The sequence below is a fragment of the Homo sapiens genome, chromosome 5, assembly GCF_000001405.40.
Source record: "Homo sapiens chromosome 5, GRCh38.p14 Primary Assembly".
Classification (NCBI taxonomy): domain Eukaryota; kingdom Metazoa; phylum Chordata; class Mammalia; order Primates; family Hominidae; genus Homo; species Homo sapiens.
The window spans coordinates 140,504,638-140,523,756 of record NC_000005.10 but is presented as its reverse complement, the minus strand read 5'-3'; the positions used below and the strand labels follow the sequence as shown (position 1 = coordinate 140,523,756).

The 19,119-nt window shown below is 39.4% G+C and overlaps 2 protein-coding genes across 2 annotated transcripts in view; both read right to left on the bottom strand.

Moving 5' to 3' along the window:
- Positions 1 to 19,119, bottom strand: part of ANKHD1-EIF4EBP3 (ANKHD1-EIF4EBP3 readthrough) — a 147,744-nt gene that overhangs the window by 25,820 nt on the left and 102,805 nt on the right. Inside the window, exons 16-24 of the mRNA NM_020690.6 lie at positions 18,791 to 18,936; positions 18,524 to 18,635; positions 17,888 to 18,033; positions 16,780 to 16,922; positions 15,759 to 15,972; positions 13,945 to 14,120; positions 13,576 to 13,738; positions 10,834 to 10,929; positions 10,278 to 10,394 (exon numbers count right to left, since the gene is read on the bottom strand). Of these exons, the coding sequence (NP_065741.3) occupies positions 10,278 to 10,394; positions 10,834 to 10,929; positions 13,576 to 13,738; positions 13,945 to 14,120; positions 15,759 to 15,972; positions 16,780 to 16,922; positions 17,888 to 18,033; positions 18,524 to 18,635; positions 18,791 to 18,936 (1,313 nt within the window). The remainder of the gene's footprint in view (positions 1 to 10,277; positions 10,395 to 10,833; positions 10,930 to 13,575; positions 13,739 to 13,944; positions 14,121 to 15,758; positions 15,973 to 16,779; positions 16,923 to 17,887; positions 18,034 to 18,523; positions 18,636 to 18,790; positions 18,937 to 19,119) is intronic.
- The window catches only part of ANKHD1 (ankyrin repeat and KH domain containing 1), a 138,017-nt gene that overhangs the window by 16,093 nt on the left and 102,805 nt on the right, over positions 1 to 19,119 (bottom strand). The window contains exons 16-24 of the mRNA NM_017747.3: positions 18,791 to 18,936; positions 18,524 to 18,635; positions 17,888 to 18,033; positions 16,780 to 16,922; positions 15,759 to 15,972; positions 13,945 to 14,120; positions 13,576 to 13,738; positions 10,834 to 10,929; positions 10,278 to 10,394 (exon numbers count right to left, since the gene is read on the bottom strand). Of these exons, the coding sequence (NP_060217.1) occupies positions 10,278 to 10,394; positions 10,834 to 10,929; positions 13,576 to 13,738; positions 13,945 to 14,120; positions 15,759 to 15,972; positions 16,780 to 16,922; positions 17,888 to 18,033; positions 18,524 to 18,635; positions 18,791 to 18,936 (1,313 nt within the window). The remainder of the gene's footprint in view (positions 1 to 10,277; positions 10,395 to 10,833; positions 10,930 to 13,575; positions 13,739 to 13,944; positions 14,121 to 15,758; positions 15,973 to 16,779; positions 16,923 to 17,887; positions 18,034 to 18,523; positions 18,636 to 18,790; positions 18,937 to 19,119) is intronic.

Sequence of the window (19,119 nt, the reverse complement as noted above, 5' to 3'; positions counted from 1 at the left end):
AAACCTCATCTCTACTAAAAATACAAAAATTAACTGGGTGTGGTGGCACGGACTTGCAGTCTCAGCTACTCGAGAGGCTGAGGCAGGACAATCACTTGAACCTGGGAGACAGAGGTTGCAATGAGCCGAGATCATGGCACCGCACTCCAGCCTGGGTGACAGAGTGAGACTGTCTCAAAAAAAAAAAAAAAGTAAACAGTCAACCTATAAAATGGGAAAAATATTTTTGCAAATCATACAACTGGTAAGGGACTTGTATCTATAATATATAAAAAAAAAATCTTACAACTCACGAATGAAAAGACAGTCCATTTAAAAAACAGATTATGAAAACATCAAGTTATATGCAGGCTGGGCATGGTGGCTCACGCCTGTAATACAAGCACTTTGGGAGACTGAGGAGGAAAGATTGCTTGAGCCCAGGAGTTTGAGACTAGCCTGGGCAATATAGCAAGATCCCATCTCTGTAAAAAAATAAGAAAATTAGCCAGGCATGGTGACCTATGCCTGTAGTCCCAGTTACTTGGGAGGCAGGAGGATTGCATGTGCCCAGGAGTTTGAGGCTCTAGTGAGCTATAATCATGTCACTGCACTCAGCCTTGGCAACAGAGTAAAACCCTGTCTCTTAAAAAAAAAAAAAAAAAAAAAGGAAAAAGAAAAAAATTAATTAAAAAAAAAAACCAAGTTATACATTTTAAATATACACAAATTTTTATTTGTCAAATATACCTCAATAAAGCTATTTTTTAAAAACAGAAAAAGGATCTGAATAGACATTTCTCCAAAGAAAATATACAAATGACCAATAAGCACAGAGAAAGATAGATGTTCAATATCATTAGCCATCAGGGAAAATCAAATCCAAGTCACAAGATATCCACTTCACACCCACTAGGATGGCTACAATCAGAAAGACAGATAATAATATTGGTGAGGATGTGGAGAAATTGAAACCTTCATACACTGCAGGTAGGAATGTAAAATGGTACAGCCACTTTGGAAAACAATCTGGCACTCCTTCAATCCTTCAAATAGTTAAACACAGAACTAGCATATGATTTAGTAATTCCATCCATAGGTACATGCTCCAGAGAAATAAAAACATTTTCATACAAAAACTGTATACTTATTTATAATTCCATTATTAAAAGAAAAAACATCATGATCAAGTAGAGTTATTCTAGGAATGCAAGAGATAGCTTAACATGAAAATATTTTGTTGATAATTAAAGAGAAAAAGTATGATTATTGAGAGATGCTAAAATTTTGATAGCAAATTTTAGTTTAAAAAAACGTAGTAAGCTAAAGAGAGAAGAAAAGGTTGCTTACAATCATTGAGCATTGTTTATAATTGCCAAGAAGTGGAAGCAACCCAATGACCATTAACTGATAAACAGATAAACAAAATGTGGTCTGTCTACAGAATAGAATTGTTTTCGTATTTGGCAATAAAAAGAAATAAAGTACTGATTTTGGCTATAACATGGATGAATTTTGAAAACATTTCACTAAGTGAAAAAGCCAGTCACAAAAGACCAAATATTATATGATTCCATTTATGTGAAAAGTCCATAATTGACAAATCTATAGAGACAGAAAGTAGATTAGCAGTTACCTAGGACACAGGGATTGCAGTGGGGGAATGGGAATATGATAGCTATGGAGTGCAGGGTTTCTTTTTATGACAGTCATAATGTTCCAAAATTGTGCTGATAAATGTACAATTCTGTGAATATACTAAACACCACTGAATTACGTAACTTTATTTATTTTATTTTGAGACAGAGTCTTGCTCTGTCACCCAGGCTGGAGTGCAGTGGCACGATGTTGGCTTACTGCAGCCTCTGCCTGTCGGGTTCCTGCAATTCTCCTGCCTCAGCCTCCCAGGTAGCTGGGATTACAGGCGTGTGCCACCATGCCTGACTAATTTTTGTACTTTTAGTAGAGAAGGGTTTTACCATGTTAGCCAGCCTGGTCTCGAACTCCTGACCTCAGGTGATCTGCCCACTTCAGCCTCCCAAAGTGCTAGGATTACAGGCATGAGCCACTGTGCCCAACTGTGAATTATGTAACTTTACATGGGTAAATTGTATGGTTTGTGGAGTGAATTTCACTAATGCTATTTTAAAAAAACATTTATGTGGCATCTATTTATGTGCCTAAAATGCAGCTATCATGGATCTTTACAAAATACTGATAAATTTCACTGTAAAAATCCTGACAAGAAGCTATTACAAAAATGATTCTTTCCTATTTATAGAATTTATTTTAATTTATTTTTTTAAGTAGAGACAGGGTCCAACTATGTTGCCCAGGCTGGTCTTGAACTGCTGGTCTCAAGTGATCCTCCTGCCTCAGCCTCCCAAAGTGCTGGGATTACAGGCATGAGCCACCACACATGCCCAGCCTGTATTTCTTTTTCTGTGAATTGCCTATTCACATGATCATTTTTTATTATGGATAAGTTATCTTTTTTTCTCCTCAATGACTGTAAGCAAACTTTTCTTCTCTCTTTAGCTTACGAAGTTTTTTTAAACCAAAATTTGCTGTCAAAATTTTAGCATCTCTCAATAATCATACTTTTTCTCTTCCTTTAATTATCAACAAAATATTTTTATGTTAAGCTATCTCTTGCATTCCTAGAATAACTCTACTTGATCATGACATTTTTTCTTTTAATATAATTTCCAAACTCAGTATATCAACACTGTCATTTTCCAGGTAAGCAGACTGAGCCTCAGAAAGGCAATGTTTTAGTTTGTTTGTTTTAATTTTTCCATTACAGCACACATCCTAGGATACTGGATAGTCTTTTTTTTTTTTTTTTATTATACTTTAAGTTTTAGGGTACATGTGCACAATGTGCAGTTAGTTACATATGTATACATGTGCCATGCTGGTGCGCTGCACCCATTAACTCGTCATCTAGCATTAGGTATATCTCCCAATGCTATCCCTCCCCCCTCCCCCCCACCCCACAACAGTCCCCAGAGTGTGATGTTCCCCTTCCTGTGTCCATGTGTTCTCATTGTTCAATTCCCACCTATGAGTGAGAATATGCGGTGTTTGGTTTTTTGTTCTTGCAATAGTTTACTGAGAATGATGATTTCCAATTTCATCCATGTCCCCACAAAGGACATGAACTCATCATTTTTTATGGCTGCATAGTATTCCATGGTGTATATGTGCCACATTTTCTTAATCCAGTCTATCATTGCTGGACATTTGGGTTGGTTCCAAGTCTTTGCTATTGTGAATAATGCCGCAATAAACATACGTGTGCATGTGTCTTTATAGTAGCATGATTTATAGTCCTTTGGGTATATACCCAGTAATAGGATGGCTGGGTCAAATGGTATTTCTAGTTCTAGATCCCTGAGGAATCGCCACACTGACTTCCACAATGGTTGAACTAGTTTAGAGTCCCACCAACAGTGTAAAAGTGTTCCTATTTCTCCACATCCTCTCCAGCACCTGTTGTTTCCTGACTTTTTAATGATCGCCATTCTAACTGGTGTGAGATGGTATCTCATTGTGGTTTTGATTTGCGTTTCTCTGATGGCCAGTGATGAGGAGCATTTTTTCATGTGTTTTTTGGCTGCATAAATGTCTTCTTTTGAGAAGTGTCTGTTCATGTCCTTTGCCCACTTTTTGATGGGGTTGTTTGTTTTTTTCTTGTAAATTTGTTTGAGTTCATTGTAGATTCTGGATATTAGCCCTTTGTCAGATGAGTAGGTTGCGAAAATTTTCTCCCATTTTGTAGGTTGCCTGTTCACTCTGATAGTAGTTTCTTTTGCTGTGCAGAAGCTCTTTAGTTTAATTAGATCCCATTTGTCAATTTTGGCTTTTGTTGCCATTGCTTTTGGTGTTTTAGACATGAGGTCCTTGCCCATGCCTATGTCCTGAATGGTAATGCCTAGGTTTTCTTCTAGGGTTTTTATGGTTTTAGGTCTAACGTTTAAGTCTTTAATCCATCTTGAACTGATTTTTGTATAAGGTGTAAGGAAGGGATCCAGTTTCAGCTTTCTACATATGGCTAGCCAGTTTTCCCAGCACCATGTATTAAATAGGGAATCCTTTCCCCATTGCTTGTTTTTCTCAGGTTTGTCAAAGATCAGATAGTTGTAGACATGCGGCGTTATTTCTGAGGGCTCTGTTCTGTTCCATTGATCTATATCTCTGTTTTGGTACCAGTAACATTCTGTTTTGGTTACTGTAGCCTTGTAGTATAGTTGGAAGTCAGGTAGTGTGATGCCTCCAGCTTTGTTCTTTTGGCGTAGGACTGACTTGGCGATGTGGGCTCTTTTTTGGTGCCATATGAACTTTAAAGTAGTTATTCCAATTCTGTGAAGAAAGTCATTGGTAGCTTGATGGGGATGGCATTGAATCGGTAAATTACCTTGGGCAGTATGGCCATTTTCACGATACTGATTCTTCCTACTCATGAGCATGGAATGTTCTTCCATTTGTTTGTATCCTCTTTTATTTCACTGAGCAGTGGTTTGTAGTTCTCCTTGAAGAGGTCCTTTACATCCCTTGTAAGTTGGATTCCTAGGTATTTTATTCTCTTTGAAGCAATTGTGAATGGGAGTTCACTCATGATTTGGCTCTCTGTTGTTGGTGTATAAGAATGCTTGTGATTTTTGTACATTGATTTTGTATCCTGAAACTTTGCTGAAGTTGCTTATCAGCTTAAGGAGATTTTGGGCTGAGACAATGGGGTTTTCTAGATATACAATCATGTCGTCTGCAAACAGGGACAATTTGACTTCCTCTTTTCCTAATTGAATACCCTTTATTTCCTTCTCCTGCCTATTTGCCCTGGCCAGAACTTCCAACACTATGTTGAATAAGAGTGGTGAGAGAGGGCATCCCTGTCTTGTGCCCGTTTTCAAAGGGAACGCTTCCAGTTTTTGCCCATTCAGTATGATATTGGCTGTGGGGTTGTCATAGATAGCTCTTATTATTTTGAGATACGTCCCATCAATACCTAATTTATTGAGTTTTTAGCATGAAGGGTTGTTGAATTTTGTCAAAGGCCTTTTCTGCATCTATTGAGATAATCATGTGGTTTTGTCTTTGGTTCTGTTTATATGCTGGATTACTTTTATTGATTTGCGTATACTGAACCAGCCTTGCATCCCAGGGATGAAGCCCACTTGATCATGGTGGATAAGCTTTTTGATGTGCTGCTGGATTCGGTTTGCCAGTATTTTATTGAGGATTTTTGCATCAATGTTCATCAAGGATATTGGTCTAAAATTCTCTTATTTGGTTGTGTCTCTGCCCGGCTTTGGTATCAGGATGATGCTGGCCTCATAAAATGAGTTAGGGAGGATTCCCTCTTTTTCTATTGATTGGAATAGTTTCAGAAGGAATGGTACCAGCTCCTCCTTGTACCTCTGGTAGAATTCGGCTGTGAATCCATCTGGTCTTGGACTCTTTTTGGTTGGTAAGCTATTGATTATTGCCACAATTTCAGCTCCTGTTCTTGGTCTATTCAGAGATTCAACTTCTTCCTGGTTTAGTCTTGGGAGAGTGTATGTGTCGAGGAATTTATCCATTTCTTCTAGATTTTCTAGTTTATTTGCGTAGAGGTGTTTGTAGTATTCTCTGACGGTAGTTTGTATTTCTGTAGGATCAGTGGTGATATCCCCTTTATCATTTTTTATTGCATCTATTTGATTCTTCTTTTTTTCTTTATTAGTCTTGCTAGTGGTCTATCAATTTTGTTGATCCTTTCAAAAAACCAGCTCCTGGATTCGTTAATTTTTTGAAGGGTTTTTTTGTGTCTCTATTTCCTTCAGTTCTGCTCTGATTTTAGTTATTTCTTGCCTTCTGCTAGCTTTTGAATGTGTTTGCTCTTGCTTTTCTAGTTCTTTTAATTGTGATGTTAGGGTGTCAATTTTGGATCTTTCCTGCTTTCTCTTGTGGGCATTTAGTGCTATAAATTTCCCTCTACACACTGCTTTGAATGTGTCCCAGAGATTCTGGTATGTTGTGTCCTTGTTCTCGTTGGTTTCAAAGAACATCTTTATTTCTGCCTTCATTTCGTTATGTACCCAGTAGTCATTCAGGAGCAGGTTGTTCAGTTTCCATGTAGTTGAGCGGTTTTGAGTGAGATTCTTAATCCTGAGTTCTAGTTTGATTGCACTGTGGTCTGAGAGATAGTTTGTTATAATTTCTGTTCTTTTACATTTGCTGAGGAGAGCTTTACTTCCAAGTATGTGGTCAATTTTGGAATAGGTGTGGTGTGGTGCTGAAAAAAATGTATATTCTGTTGATTTGGGGTGGAGGGTTCTGTAGATGTCTATTAGGTCCGCTTGGTGCAGAGCTGAGTTCAATTCCTGGGTATCCTTGCTGACTTTCTGTCTCGTTGATCTGTCTAATGTTGACAGTGGGGTGTTAAAGTCTCCCATTATTAATGTGTGGGAGTCTAAGTCTCTTTGTAGGTCACTCAGGACTTGCTTTATGAATCTGGGTGCTCCTGTATTGGGTGCATATATATTTAGGATAGTTAGCTCTTCTTGTTGAATTGATCCCTTTACCATTATGTAATGGCCTTCTTTGTCTCTTTTGATCTTTGTTGGTTTAAAGTCTGTTTTATCAGAGGCTAGGATTGCAACCCCTGCCTTTTTTTGTTTTCCATTTGCTTGGTAGATCTTCCTCCATCCTTTTATTTTGAGCCTATGTGTGTCTCTGCACGTGAGATGGGTTTCCTGAATACAGCACACTGATGGGTCTTGACTCTTTATCCAATTTGCCAGTCTGTGTCTTTTAATTGGAGCATTTAATCCGTTTACATTTAAAGTTAATATTGTTATGTGTGAATTTGATCCTGTCATTATGATGTTAGCTGTTTATTTTGCTCGTTAGTTGATGCAGTTTCTTCCTAGTCTCGATGGTCTTTACATTTTGGCATGATTTTGCAGCGGCTGGTACCGGTTGTTCCTTTCCATGTTTAGTGCTTCCTTCAGGAGCTCTTTTAGGGCAGGCCTGGTGGTGACAAAATCTCTCAGCATTTGCTTCTCTGTAAAGTATTTTATTTCTCCTTCACTTACAAAGCTTAGTTTGGCTGGATATGAAATTCTGGGTTGAAAATTCTTTTCTTTAAGAATGTTGAATATTGGCCCCCACTCTCTTCTGGCTTGTAGAGTTTCTGCCGAGAGATCTGCTGTTAGTCTGATGGGCTTCCCTTTGAGGGTAACCCGACCTTTCTCGCTGGCTGCCCTTAACATTTTTTCCTTCGACTTTGGTGAATCTGACAATTATGTGTCTTGGAGTCGCTCTTCTCGAGGAGTATCTTTGTGGCGTTCTCTGTATTTCCTGAATCGGAATGTTGGCCTGCCTTGCTAGATTGGGGAAGTTCTCCTGGATAATATCCTGCAGTGTTTTCCAACTTGGTTCCATTCTCCCTGTCACTTTCAGGTACACCAATCAGACGTAGATTTGGTCTTTTCACATAGTCCCATATTTCTTGGAGGCTTTGCTCGTTTCTTTTTATTCTTTTTTGTCTAAACTTCCCTTCTCGCTTCATTTTATTCATTTCATTTTCCATCGCTGATACCCTTTCTTCCAGTTGATCGCATGGGCTCCTGAGGCTTCTGCATTCTTCACGTAGTTCTCGAGCCTTGGTTTTCAGCTCCATCAGCTCCTTTAAGCACTTCTCTGTATTGGTTATTCTAGTTATACAATCTTCTAAATTTTTTTCAAAGTTTTCAACTTCTTTGCCTTTGGTTTGAATTTCCTCCCGTAGCTCAGAGTAATTTGATCGTCTGAGGCCTTCTTCTCTCAGCTCGTCAAAGTCATTCTCCGTCCAGCTTTGTTCCGTTGCTGGTGAGGAACTTTGTTCCTTTGGAGGAGGAGAGGCGCTCTGCTTTTTAGAGTTTCCAGTTTTTCTGCTCTGTTTTTTCCCCATCTTTTTGGTTTTATCTACTTTTGGTCTTTGATGATGGTGATGTACAGATGGGTTTTTGGTGTGGATGTCCTTTCTGTTTGTTAGTTTTCCTTCTAACAGACAGGACCCTCAGCTGCAGGTCTGTTGAAGTACCCGGCCGTGTGAGGTGTCAGTCTGACCCTGCTGGGGGGTGCCCCCCAGTTAGGCTGCTCAGGGGTCAGGGATCAGGGGTCAGGGACCCACTTGAGGAGGCAGTCTGCCCGTTCTCAGATCTCCAGCTGCGTGCTGGGAGAACCACTGCTCTCTTCAAAGCTCAGATGGAAATGCAGAAATCACCCGTCTTCTGCGTCGCTCACGCTGGGAGCTGTAGACCGGAGCTGCTCCTATTCGGCCACCTTGGCTCCTCCCGTCTTTTTTCTGGATAGTCTTTAATTGGGAATCTAATAAACCATTTGTAACCCAGATCTTAACAATAAACAAATGATTTCCAATGCTTTACTAAATTTCTTCACAGACCAATGTTAAAACCACTTAGGCAGTAATGATGTCATTTGGTAAAATGGGATTTTTTTTTTTTTTGGGGGGACAGAATCTAGCTCTGTCACCCAGGCTAGAGTGTAGTGGCGTGATCTCAGCTCACTGCAACTTCTGCCTCCCGGGTTCAAACAATTCTCCTGCCTCAGCCTCCTAAGTAGCTGGGGCTACAGGCATGCACTACCACACCCAGCTAATATTTGTATTTTTAGCAGAGACGGGGTTTCTCCATGTCGGCCAGGCTGGTCTCAAACTCTTAACCTCAGGTGATCTGCCCGCCTCGGCCTCCCAAAGTGCTGGGATTACAGGCATGAGCTACTGCGCCCAGACAGGACCTTTTTTTTTTTGAGACAGGGTCTTGCTCTGTCACCCAGGCTGGAGTGCAGTGGCTCATTGCACAATCATAGCTCATTGCAGCCTCAACCTCCCAGGCCCAAGAGATCCTCTCGCCTCAGCCTCCTGAGTAGCTGGGACTACAGGTGTGCACCTCTATGCCCGGTGAATTTTTTAAACTTTTAGTAGAGGCAAGGTCTCACTATGTTGCCCAGCCTGGTCTCGAACTCCTGAGCTCAAGCCATCCTCTAGCCTAGGCCTCCCAAAATGCTGGGATTACAGGTGTGAGCTACCGCTCCCAGCCGTAAATTGGGATCTTGCTCAAAATCTAGTCCTTCCCTTATATTTGGGCTCAAAATATATTTTTTTGAATGACAGGTCAGAATAAAAAATTGATGGTGGTTTAAGAATCTATTACCTATTTCCTTTGAATCATATATTATTAAGAATATTGGTCATATAGGCGACACGTTTACTCTAGCAGATTTTCTTTTTGTCTGAGATGGGGTCTCACTCTGTCACCCAGGCTAGAGCGCAGTGGCACAATCACAGGTCACTGCAACCTCTGCCTCCTGGGCTCAGGCCATCCTCCCACCTCACCCTCCCAAGTTGCTGGGACTACAGGCACCTGCCACCATGCCTGGCTAATTTTTTGTTTTTTGTAGAGATGGGGTTTTGCCATGTTGCCCAGGCTGGTCTCAAACTCTGGGGCTCAAGCAGTCCACCCTCCTCAGCCTCCCAAAGTGCTGGGATTACAGGCATGAGCCATGACATCTGTCAATTCCTTTTTTTTTTTTTTTTTTTTAATAGAGAGAGAGTCTCGATCTGTTGCCTAGGCTGGACTGCAGTGTGTAATTATGGCTCACTGGAGCCTCGAACTCCTGGACTCAAGTGATCCTTCCACTTCAGCCTCCTGAATAGCTAGGATTGCAGGCATGTACCACCATGCCCAACTGTTTTTTAAACTTTTTTTTGTAGAGATGGGGTCTCACTCTGTCACCCAGGCTAGAGTGCAGTGGCACAATCACAGCTCACTGCAACCTCTGCCTCCTGGGCTCAGGCCATCCTCTCTATGTTGACCAAACTGATCTCAAACTCCTAGGCTCAGCCTCCCAAAGTGCTGGGATTACAGGTGTGAGCCACCACGCCCACCCTCAATAATTTCTTTCTTTTTTTTTTTTTTTTTGAGACAGTCTCGCTCTGTCAGCCAGGCTGGAGTGCAGTGGCACGATCTCGACTCACTGCAACCTCTGCCTCCCGGGCTCAAGCAATTCTCCTGCCTCAGCCTCCCGAGTAGCTGGGATTACAGGGGTGTGCCACCACACCTGGCTAATTTTTGTATTTTTAGTAGAGACAGGGTTTCACCTTGTTAGCAAGGCTGGTCTTGAACTCCTGACCTCAGGTAATCCACCCGCCTTGGCCTTCTGAAGTGCTGGGATCATAGGCGTGAGCCACCGTGCCCGGCCCCCACCCTCAATAATTTCTAAAAAGGAAAATTATTTTTCCCACTCACCTTTTCCAGATCAAGTTCCTTTAAAAGAATACTCGCATTCTTATTTGCTTCTGCAGCTTGCTGGTCTTTAGCCTTCACAATGGTTTCGACACATTGATGACATTTTTTCAACAGTTCCTACAGCAGGAAATAGAATTATGTAAATATATAATGAAAGAGGCCAAATAAAACTTAAGCTGATGAGCACATTAAAGTCCAGAGGTTAAAGTTCAAACTGAAAAGTCACTAAACCAAATTAAGTTATCCTTTGAGTCCAATCTTTCACAAAAATAAGACACCATTTCCCTAAAAACCTGCATGTCCTTAGGAAGCCTTCTCATTAGGCTAATGGTTTAGTACCTTAGTGTAGTCACTGTGACTATGGTCCACAGTAGAAATCTCAAAATAGTTTATCAAAAGTATTATACCCCTCTATTTTGCAAATGGAGAAACAAACGCATAAAGAGATCAGGTGACCAACCTTTCAGAATATAAAAAGAACAAGTTCCTAACTGCACACTTTGGCATATCATTCCACAAAGAACAAAAATGTGCTTCAGTAGCATATTAAACTTACCTTATCTGTAATTGTTGCTATGTATCTCATGCATTCTATATCAGAAGGGAACTGATTTACTTCCTTTACCAAATATTGAACAACTTTTACATGACCCTATAAGAAGTACAACAATCTTAGACAAGGTAGCATGAAAAGAAAAATTATTATTCTTAAGAATAAAAGAAAGTAAAACAACAGAATTACAAAGGAATCCCTTGATTTTGCATATATGCCTACCAATTTAAGAATAAAAAGGCAAATACTTCCAAATAGAATATTAAGCTTAAAATTAAAATTATAAAAATAAGATCAGCATTCAGCTTATAAAAAGAAAGGCATAAAAGACAAGAATGTGTGCTCAGGAATGGATGGTGGACTAGACAACATTTCTCCTGAATTTAATCCCACTGAAATTAGAAAAAGCTTTTGTAGAAAAACAGTATCTCCTAGAATAAATCTATTAAACAAACATTGGTGATGTAAAATGAACCTCAGTGTAAAAGGGAAATGAGTCCTAAAATAAGTAATTTTTTTTTAAATTTCAAAGTCTTACTTTGCCTCTACTTCACTAACTAAACAAGGTGGACTATCACAACTTTCTGAGCCTTAGGACTTGAATCTAAATAAAACACTTTCTAAATGCCATTATCAAGGGTTGAAAGATCTGTAATCAATTCTAAGCATATCTTTTTTTTTTTTTTTTTGAGATGGGAGTCTCGCTGTTGTTGCCCCGGCTGGAGTGCCACGGCACGCTCTTGTCTCACTGCAACCTCCGCCTCCCGGGTTCTAGCAACTCTCCTGCCTCAGCCTCCGGAGTAGCTGAGATTACAGGTGCCTACCATCACGCCTGGCTAATTTTTGTATTTTTAGTAGAGACGGGGATTTACCATGTTGGCCAGGCTGGTCTTGAACTCCTGACCTCAGGTGATCCACCTGACTCGGCCTCCCAAAGTGCTGGGATTATGGGCGTGAGCCACCGCACCCGGCCAGCATATCTATTTTAATGTAACCAAGCTTGCATAGTTTCCCTTCCTACCAAGGTTCTAAAACATCCTTAAGAATTAGTGTGATGGAGATACAAATCAGAGAAATGCTTGCCTCTGGGGCAGGGAAGTGACTAAAAGTGGGCAAGAGGGAACCTTCTAGGGTTACAGAAATAATTTATATGTTTATGGGGTATGGGTTACATGTATGTATACGTTTATCAAAACTAAACCATGTACCTTAAGATTCATGCATTTCACTATATGTAAATTGCACTGTGCTAAACAACTGGGTATATAAACAGTGCTGAAAAAGATGGTCATGACTCTTGTCCTCATGGACCTACCAGTCTAGTTGGCGAGACAGGCATTAAAATGGTAAGTACATGTTTGAAGATATAATTACAAATTGGGGTAAGGAAAATCAAAACTCAACTATAAAAGAGAAACAGAGGGACCTTTTTCAGATTTGGTGTTAGAGAAATACTCTTTGAGAACTGACATGTAAAATTGGAGCTAACAGATGAGTAGAGAGGTGAGCTAGGTGAACAGCAAAGGAAATCATTTCAGGAAAAGAAAATCAGTGAGCAAAGGCCCTGAGGCAGTTGAAAATTTAGTGCATTCTAGGCCAGTAACTAGAAAACAGTGAGCAAAAGGGGATAGTAGCATAAATGATTTGTATGGGGAGGTTGACATGAAGCTTATTATGCAGGTCTTTACATGCCCTACTAAGTAGTTTATAGTTTGGGAAGCTATACCAATGGGAAGGCTTTTAAAAATACAGCAGATAAGTGAACTTTAATATATATGAGAGGCCGGGCATGAACTTTAATATATATGAGAGGCATGGCTCACGCCCATATCTCAGCACTTTGGCAGGCAGAGGTGGGAGAATCGCTGAGCCCAGGAGTTTGAGACCAGCCTGGGCAACATAGCAAGACCTCGTCTCTACAAAAAGTAAAAATAAAAAAAATCTGAGCATGGTAGTGACACCTGTGGTCCCAGCTACTCAGGAGGCTGAGGCGGGAGGATCAATTGAGCCTGGGAGGTTGAGGCTATAGTGAGCTATGATCATGCCACTGCACTCCAGCCTGGTTGACAGACTGAGACCGTTTCATACTCACACACACACACACACACGCACACAGAAGATACAGTAAGTTTTTATGAAAGTCTACTCCTTTTTGTTCCTCTTTAGGCACAAAAAAATCCATCTGCATATAATAGTTTTTCTTAAATCTTCTGTTTCATGAACAATGTATCACAAATAGTCAAGACACCAAGTGATTTAACAACCAAGTTGCTTATAGTGAACTACCACATAGATCTTAGATTTGGCCACAAAAGAATGGAAAGATAAGGTCGGGAGCCTGTAATCCTAGCACTTTGGGAGGCTGAGGCAGGCAGATCACAAAGTCAGGAGTTTGAGACCAGCCTGACCAACGTGGTGACACCCCATCTCTACTAAAAATACAAAAATTAGCCGGGTGTGGTGACGCATGCCTGTAATCCCAGCTACTCAGGAGGCTGAGGCAGGAGAATCACTTGAACCTGGGAGGCAGAGGTTGCAGTGAGCCGCGATCATGCCACTGCATTCTAGCCTATGTGACAGAGTAAGACTCCGTCTCAAAAAAAAAAAAAAAAAAAAAGAATGGAAAGATAGCAGTGATTTTTCTATGGAAATATACTCAATTCTCCAAGATAAACTTATCTTTCTCACATGGTTTTAACTTAGAATTGGCTTAAAATTGACCTTTCTTCCCCCATATCAAATTACCTTGCGAAATGCTGACATAAGAGGTGTGATTTTCCGGTTATCTGCTGCATCCACATCAGCACCTGCTTGCACTAGCAACTGCACAACATCAAAATGACCTCCATTGGATGCCAGCCAAAGTGGCGTATTTCCCTTTTTGTTACGAACATCAATGTGGGCTCCCCTGTAAACAAGGCATATTAATAGTTTGTTTCCTGTAAGAAGAGGCTGGCTTTTTCTAGTTTTCTCTATCTTCTTCTTTTACAAAATAACTTGCAAATAATCTTTTCTTAACAATATCAATAAAGTAAAACAATGTTATTAACTTTAAAAGCTCTGAAAAGTGAAAATGACCATGAGAAGTTCTACATATAATAGAAAAGTACTCACCTATGAATCAGGAGTTCACAAAATTTGTAGTGACCTTTGTCTGCTGCTATTGTTAAAGCAGTATCTCTTGAGGAAGGCACAGGGGGAGCATTAACATCTGCTCCTTTATCAAGAAGAACTCTTCCAACCTCTGCATACCCTCCAGAAGCTGCTTCCATCAAGGGGGTAAGACCCGTCTGTTTAAACCAATAAATTATGCAACTAAGTTACATTTCTTTTTTTAACTATTCCGTAGACCAAAACTAAGCTACATAATTTCTTTAAAAACCTGAGGCAATTAACTTTTAAGACAATTCTAGTTCTGATTAGCTCTCATAAAAGAGCTAAGCAATATTTTGCCTTGAATTTTACTAAACAGCAGTAGAAATTGTTAGATTCAGACGTGCTAGAATGAACTTAAAACATGTTATCTCATGCTAAAAACAATTCTGTAACTTCTATACTTTTGTGAATTTACTCAGATAATTTCTTTGCATAATGAATAGAGATATTAAAAATAAGTAGATTAAAATCACTTTATAAATTTTTTGCATATGTGCCTTTGGTACGTTAGTCTCCAACATTTTTTCAAAGGACATTTCCTACTGGTACTATCCAAAATAACACAGATTTCTCTAGGACCTTTAATGGATGAGTGGCACACAATGAATACTTGTAATAGAAAAAGACAAATTGAATGACAGGAAAGACTCATTTCTCTTTGTGTGGTAAAAAGCCAAGGAAAAACTACACTTCCTCATTACTTAGATTAAAAGAATGTAAATGTTGCACTAAACTTTAAGAAGTAAAAGGAATTTCAGGGAAGAAGTACGAGATTTCCAGTCAAATCTTTCCAATTTCAAATGAGCACTAGATTCTCTGTTGACTAATTATTAAAAATTCTACCCAACCTACGTCTTTCCAGAGTTCTAAGAACCTTGCAGTTCTAAGCAAAGAAATTCAAGCCAATGACATACTAACTCCTATTTTCTTTCCTCTGTGTGTGTTTCCTGCATCTATGGAGATTATCTTATGACTTTTCTCCTTTATTCTTTCTTTTTTGTGGGGGCGGGGGGTGGGATGGAGTTTCTCTCTTGTTGCACGGGCTGGAGTGCAATGGCGTGATCTCTGCTCAGTGCAACCTCCACCTCCCAAGTTCCGGTGATTCTTCTGCCTCAGCCTCCTGAGTAGCTGGGATTAAAGGCGCCTGCCACCACGTCCAGCTAATTTTTTGTACTTTTAGTAGAGACGGGGGTTTCACCATATTGGTCAGGCTGGTCTCAAACTCCTGACCTCATGTGATTCACCTGCCTAGGCTTCCCAAAGTCCTGGGATTACAGGAGTGAGCCACCGCGCCCAGCCTCCACTAACTCCTATTTTCTTAATACCAAATAGTCATGAAACTGTCAAAATCTGCCATGGTCAAATTAGATGTTAGCTGCCCTAATTTTATAACTTGTGAATTAAATTTTTGCTTGGGATTTTTACAATGATAAGCACATACCTCATTAAAGGTGTTCTTTAAAAGTCTACAGTGTAAGAGTTAATACAAAATAATCTTACTACATTCAAAAGTTGTAAGCTGCAGTATTAATAGAAAGCTACTCAAGGCTGAGGTTGGGAAAAGTACTAATTCTGTTTTCTTCATTGTCCTTAATAAAAGTCATGATGGTGACAGTATGTCACTCACTATTATACAGCATAATCCCTCAACTCTGCATTGGTATCAGTTTTAATTTATGATAATTTAAAATATTATATTCAATTTGCGTTAAAATGCCATGTTCTTTCTACAGAAATGTATCTGAAATAGTTGACAAGTAAAAAATGCTTACCTTTGCCCTATGTTCAACATTGGCTTTTCGGTCCAGAAGCAAACTCACTACTTCTGCTCGGCCCTGGAAACAGGCCAGGGTGAGAGCCGTGTTCCGATTGGTCTCTATTTGGGCATTAATGTCTGAACCCATATCGAGCAGCAATTTTACTGCAGGAACATGTCCATTCATTGCAGCCAACATCAGGGGAGAAATACCTAGTTTACTCCCAGTCCTAAAGGGGGAAATGTGCTTAGAAAATTAAAATAATATGTTGCCTATTATTTTAGAAAAGCATTAAAGATGAAAAGGTTTCACTAAAAAGAGAGGTTTCTAACATCAATGAATAGATTTTACTTGTTTCGACCAATAATAAAGAATAAGAAAATGTCACAATTTAAAACATAATTTCCGGCCAGACATGGTGGCTCATGCCTGTAATCCCAGCACTTTGGGAGGCCAAGGAGGGCAGATCACCTGAGGTCGGGAGTTTGAGACCAGCCTGACCAACATGGAGAAACCCCATCTCTACTACAAATACAAAATTAGCTGGGTGTGGTGGCGCATGCCTGTAATCCCAGCTACCTGGGAGGCTGAGGCATAAGAATCGCTTGAACCCCGGAGGCAGAGTTCGCGGTAAGCCAAGATCGCGCCATTGCATTCCAGCCTGGGCAACAAGAGCGAAACTCCATCTCAAAAAATAAATAACTTAAAAAATAAAATGTAATTCCTATTTAGGGATTATAAATTTCCAACTATATAAAATAAAATACCGTTTCTGAGATCAGATGAGATTGGGCACGTTTAGGGTGGTAGGCCATAGAACAAAACACTTTTTGAAATGAGACCTCTTTATAAGCAGCCACATTACTGAAATAAGCTGAGATTACTTATAAACAAACACATTATAGGTATAATCGTTGGCTTTGCAACTTTAGTACTATCTTAATTTAAAATGTATCTGTCTAAACGTTAAGAGGTAGACATTTAAGTCCAAAGTAGTAACTTACTAAACATGAACAATAAAATGAACAGGCAATACCTTGAATTAATTTCTGCCCCAGCATTAAGCAGAATCTTAATGATATTAACATATCCTCCAGACGCAGCTAGACTCAGTGGTGTATAATCAGATACGTTCCTATGTTCTTTATTTGCACCTCGAGCCAGCAGCAAGTCTACCACCTACAAAGTAAAATATGGATAGAGAAGAGAGTTTACACCAAGGGCTCAACTTATAATGAAGGAAACACAAAGAAACAGGACTTATAACTTCCTTATCTAAATATCTGATATTTTAATTACATTTCATTAGACCCTAAATATTGAAATATCAACACTAGAGAAATGGATTCAATTTCAGGAATTCAGAGTTTTGAAATCCCAATTATACTGCAATAACAAGATGTTACCCTTTCTATTTGCCATTTATTGGGCAATAAATTTGCACTTCATATGTGTTAGAATTGTGATTCATTCAATCCGAATAAATGTAAGGATTAAGATAATTTTTATTTGGCTTTAAGGGCAAGAAACAGATTTTTTAAAAGGGGATTTATGGCCAGGCATGGTGGCTCATGCCTATAATCCCAGCACTTTGGGAGGCCAAGGCAGGAGGATCCCTTGAGGCCAGGAGTTCAAGGCCAGCTTGGGCAACATAATGAGACCTCATCTCCACCCTCCTGTTCCCTCCACAAACCCCCGCCAAAAAAAAAGGGCATTTACATTCCCATAAAAGTTAACAGAAGTACCCATTCCTCAGAAAGTATATGGAACATGTTAAAATACGTGCAGGGCCAGGCATGCTGGCCCATAACTATAATCCCTGTACTTTGGGAGGCCGAGGAGAGAGGATTGCTTGAGGCCAGGAGTTTGAAATCGGCCAGGGCAACATTACATGACCCCATCTCTACAAAACAGCCCTAGCTACTTGGGAGGCTGAGGATTGCTTGAGCCCCAGAGTTCAAGGTTATAGCGAGCTGTAATTGCACCACTGTACTCTAGCCTGGGAGACAGAGCAAGACCCTGCCTCAGAAAAACAAACACACAAAATACATGCAAATTTTATTCATGTAGCTAAAATACGAATCATATGCATATTTTAAAATACAAGCAAAATATTTACAAAATGAAAATTAACATTAACACACCTCCTGACGTCCACCAGAACATGCCAATGAAAGCGGAGTATCCTTAGTTCGTTCAGACTGTGCTTCTATATCTCCACCTTTATCCAAAAGGATTTCAACAACTCCAACATGCCCTGCTGTTGCTGCCAGGATTAGTGGTGTGAAACCTAAATCAGAAAATGAAAATCTTAAACAAATTTATGTTTTTTATTTTATTTTAAAGCCACTGTTTACAATTCTCTAGTATTTTAGCAAAATAAATCCTTCAGGGCAGACACTGATAATGAGTTAACATAAAACTGCTCTAAACCCTAATTTGTTAGTGACAAAAAACCCATAAACACCTAATTAAAAAACTAAGTCGGTAAAAATTATTAAAGTTTATACTCATAATGAACTTTGATGCCTCTGTATGAACTACCTTTGGATTAACAAAGGCAACCACAACTTGCTCTATTTCACTAATGATCTACGTCTAATTTTTGAATGTTTTGAGAATTATTTGGCTCCGCAGAATAATGAATCCAGATATTCCTAACTGAAATATACTTATCCATCTTATCACTGAGATAGTCTAGGAACTATTTATCAATAATAAAAAAGTTAATTATTTTCTGATGTAACTACACTTGGATTTTATTTCTGACTGATATTTACCTTTTTTGTCTCTGTGTTCAATTTTGGCATCCCGTGCAATGAGCACAGATACAAGTTCTTCATGACCACCTGCACAAGCTAGTGTTAATGCTGTGTCATGATTGCTCTCAGTCTAGGAGAAGAAAAAAATAAGTTAAAATTTTTTTTAACAGAAGTTATCAATTTAAGAGCAAATAATATTTCTTTTCACAATAAATGCAGAATAATTTTCCTTTCCAAAGAAGATCAGAATGTGCAAAATAAGTTTAAATAAAGCAATCTACTCACATGTGCATCAATGTCAACTGAAGGATACACAGGAGGCATCGATTGGGAAGCCACATTGCTTGTAGTCTGCGAACAGGATTCAGGTGTAAGACACTCTGTGGTCTGAGAAGAACTGTTGGAACCAGTGGGCACTCTGGTACTCACAGCTGAAAAACAATATTCATATTGCTAAATTCCACTTAAAAGAGTAAGGTTATTTGTACATAGAAAAACACAAAAACAGAAATTTCCATAGCAGTAATATGTAGTAATAGTAAAATCACAAGCTTTGGAATCAGACAGACCTACATTTAAATATTAGTTCCAACACTGACTTTCTGATCTTGGGC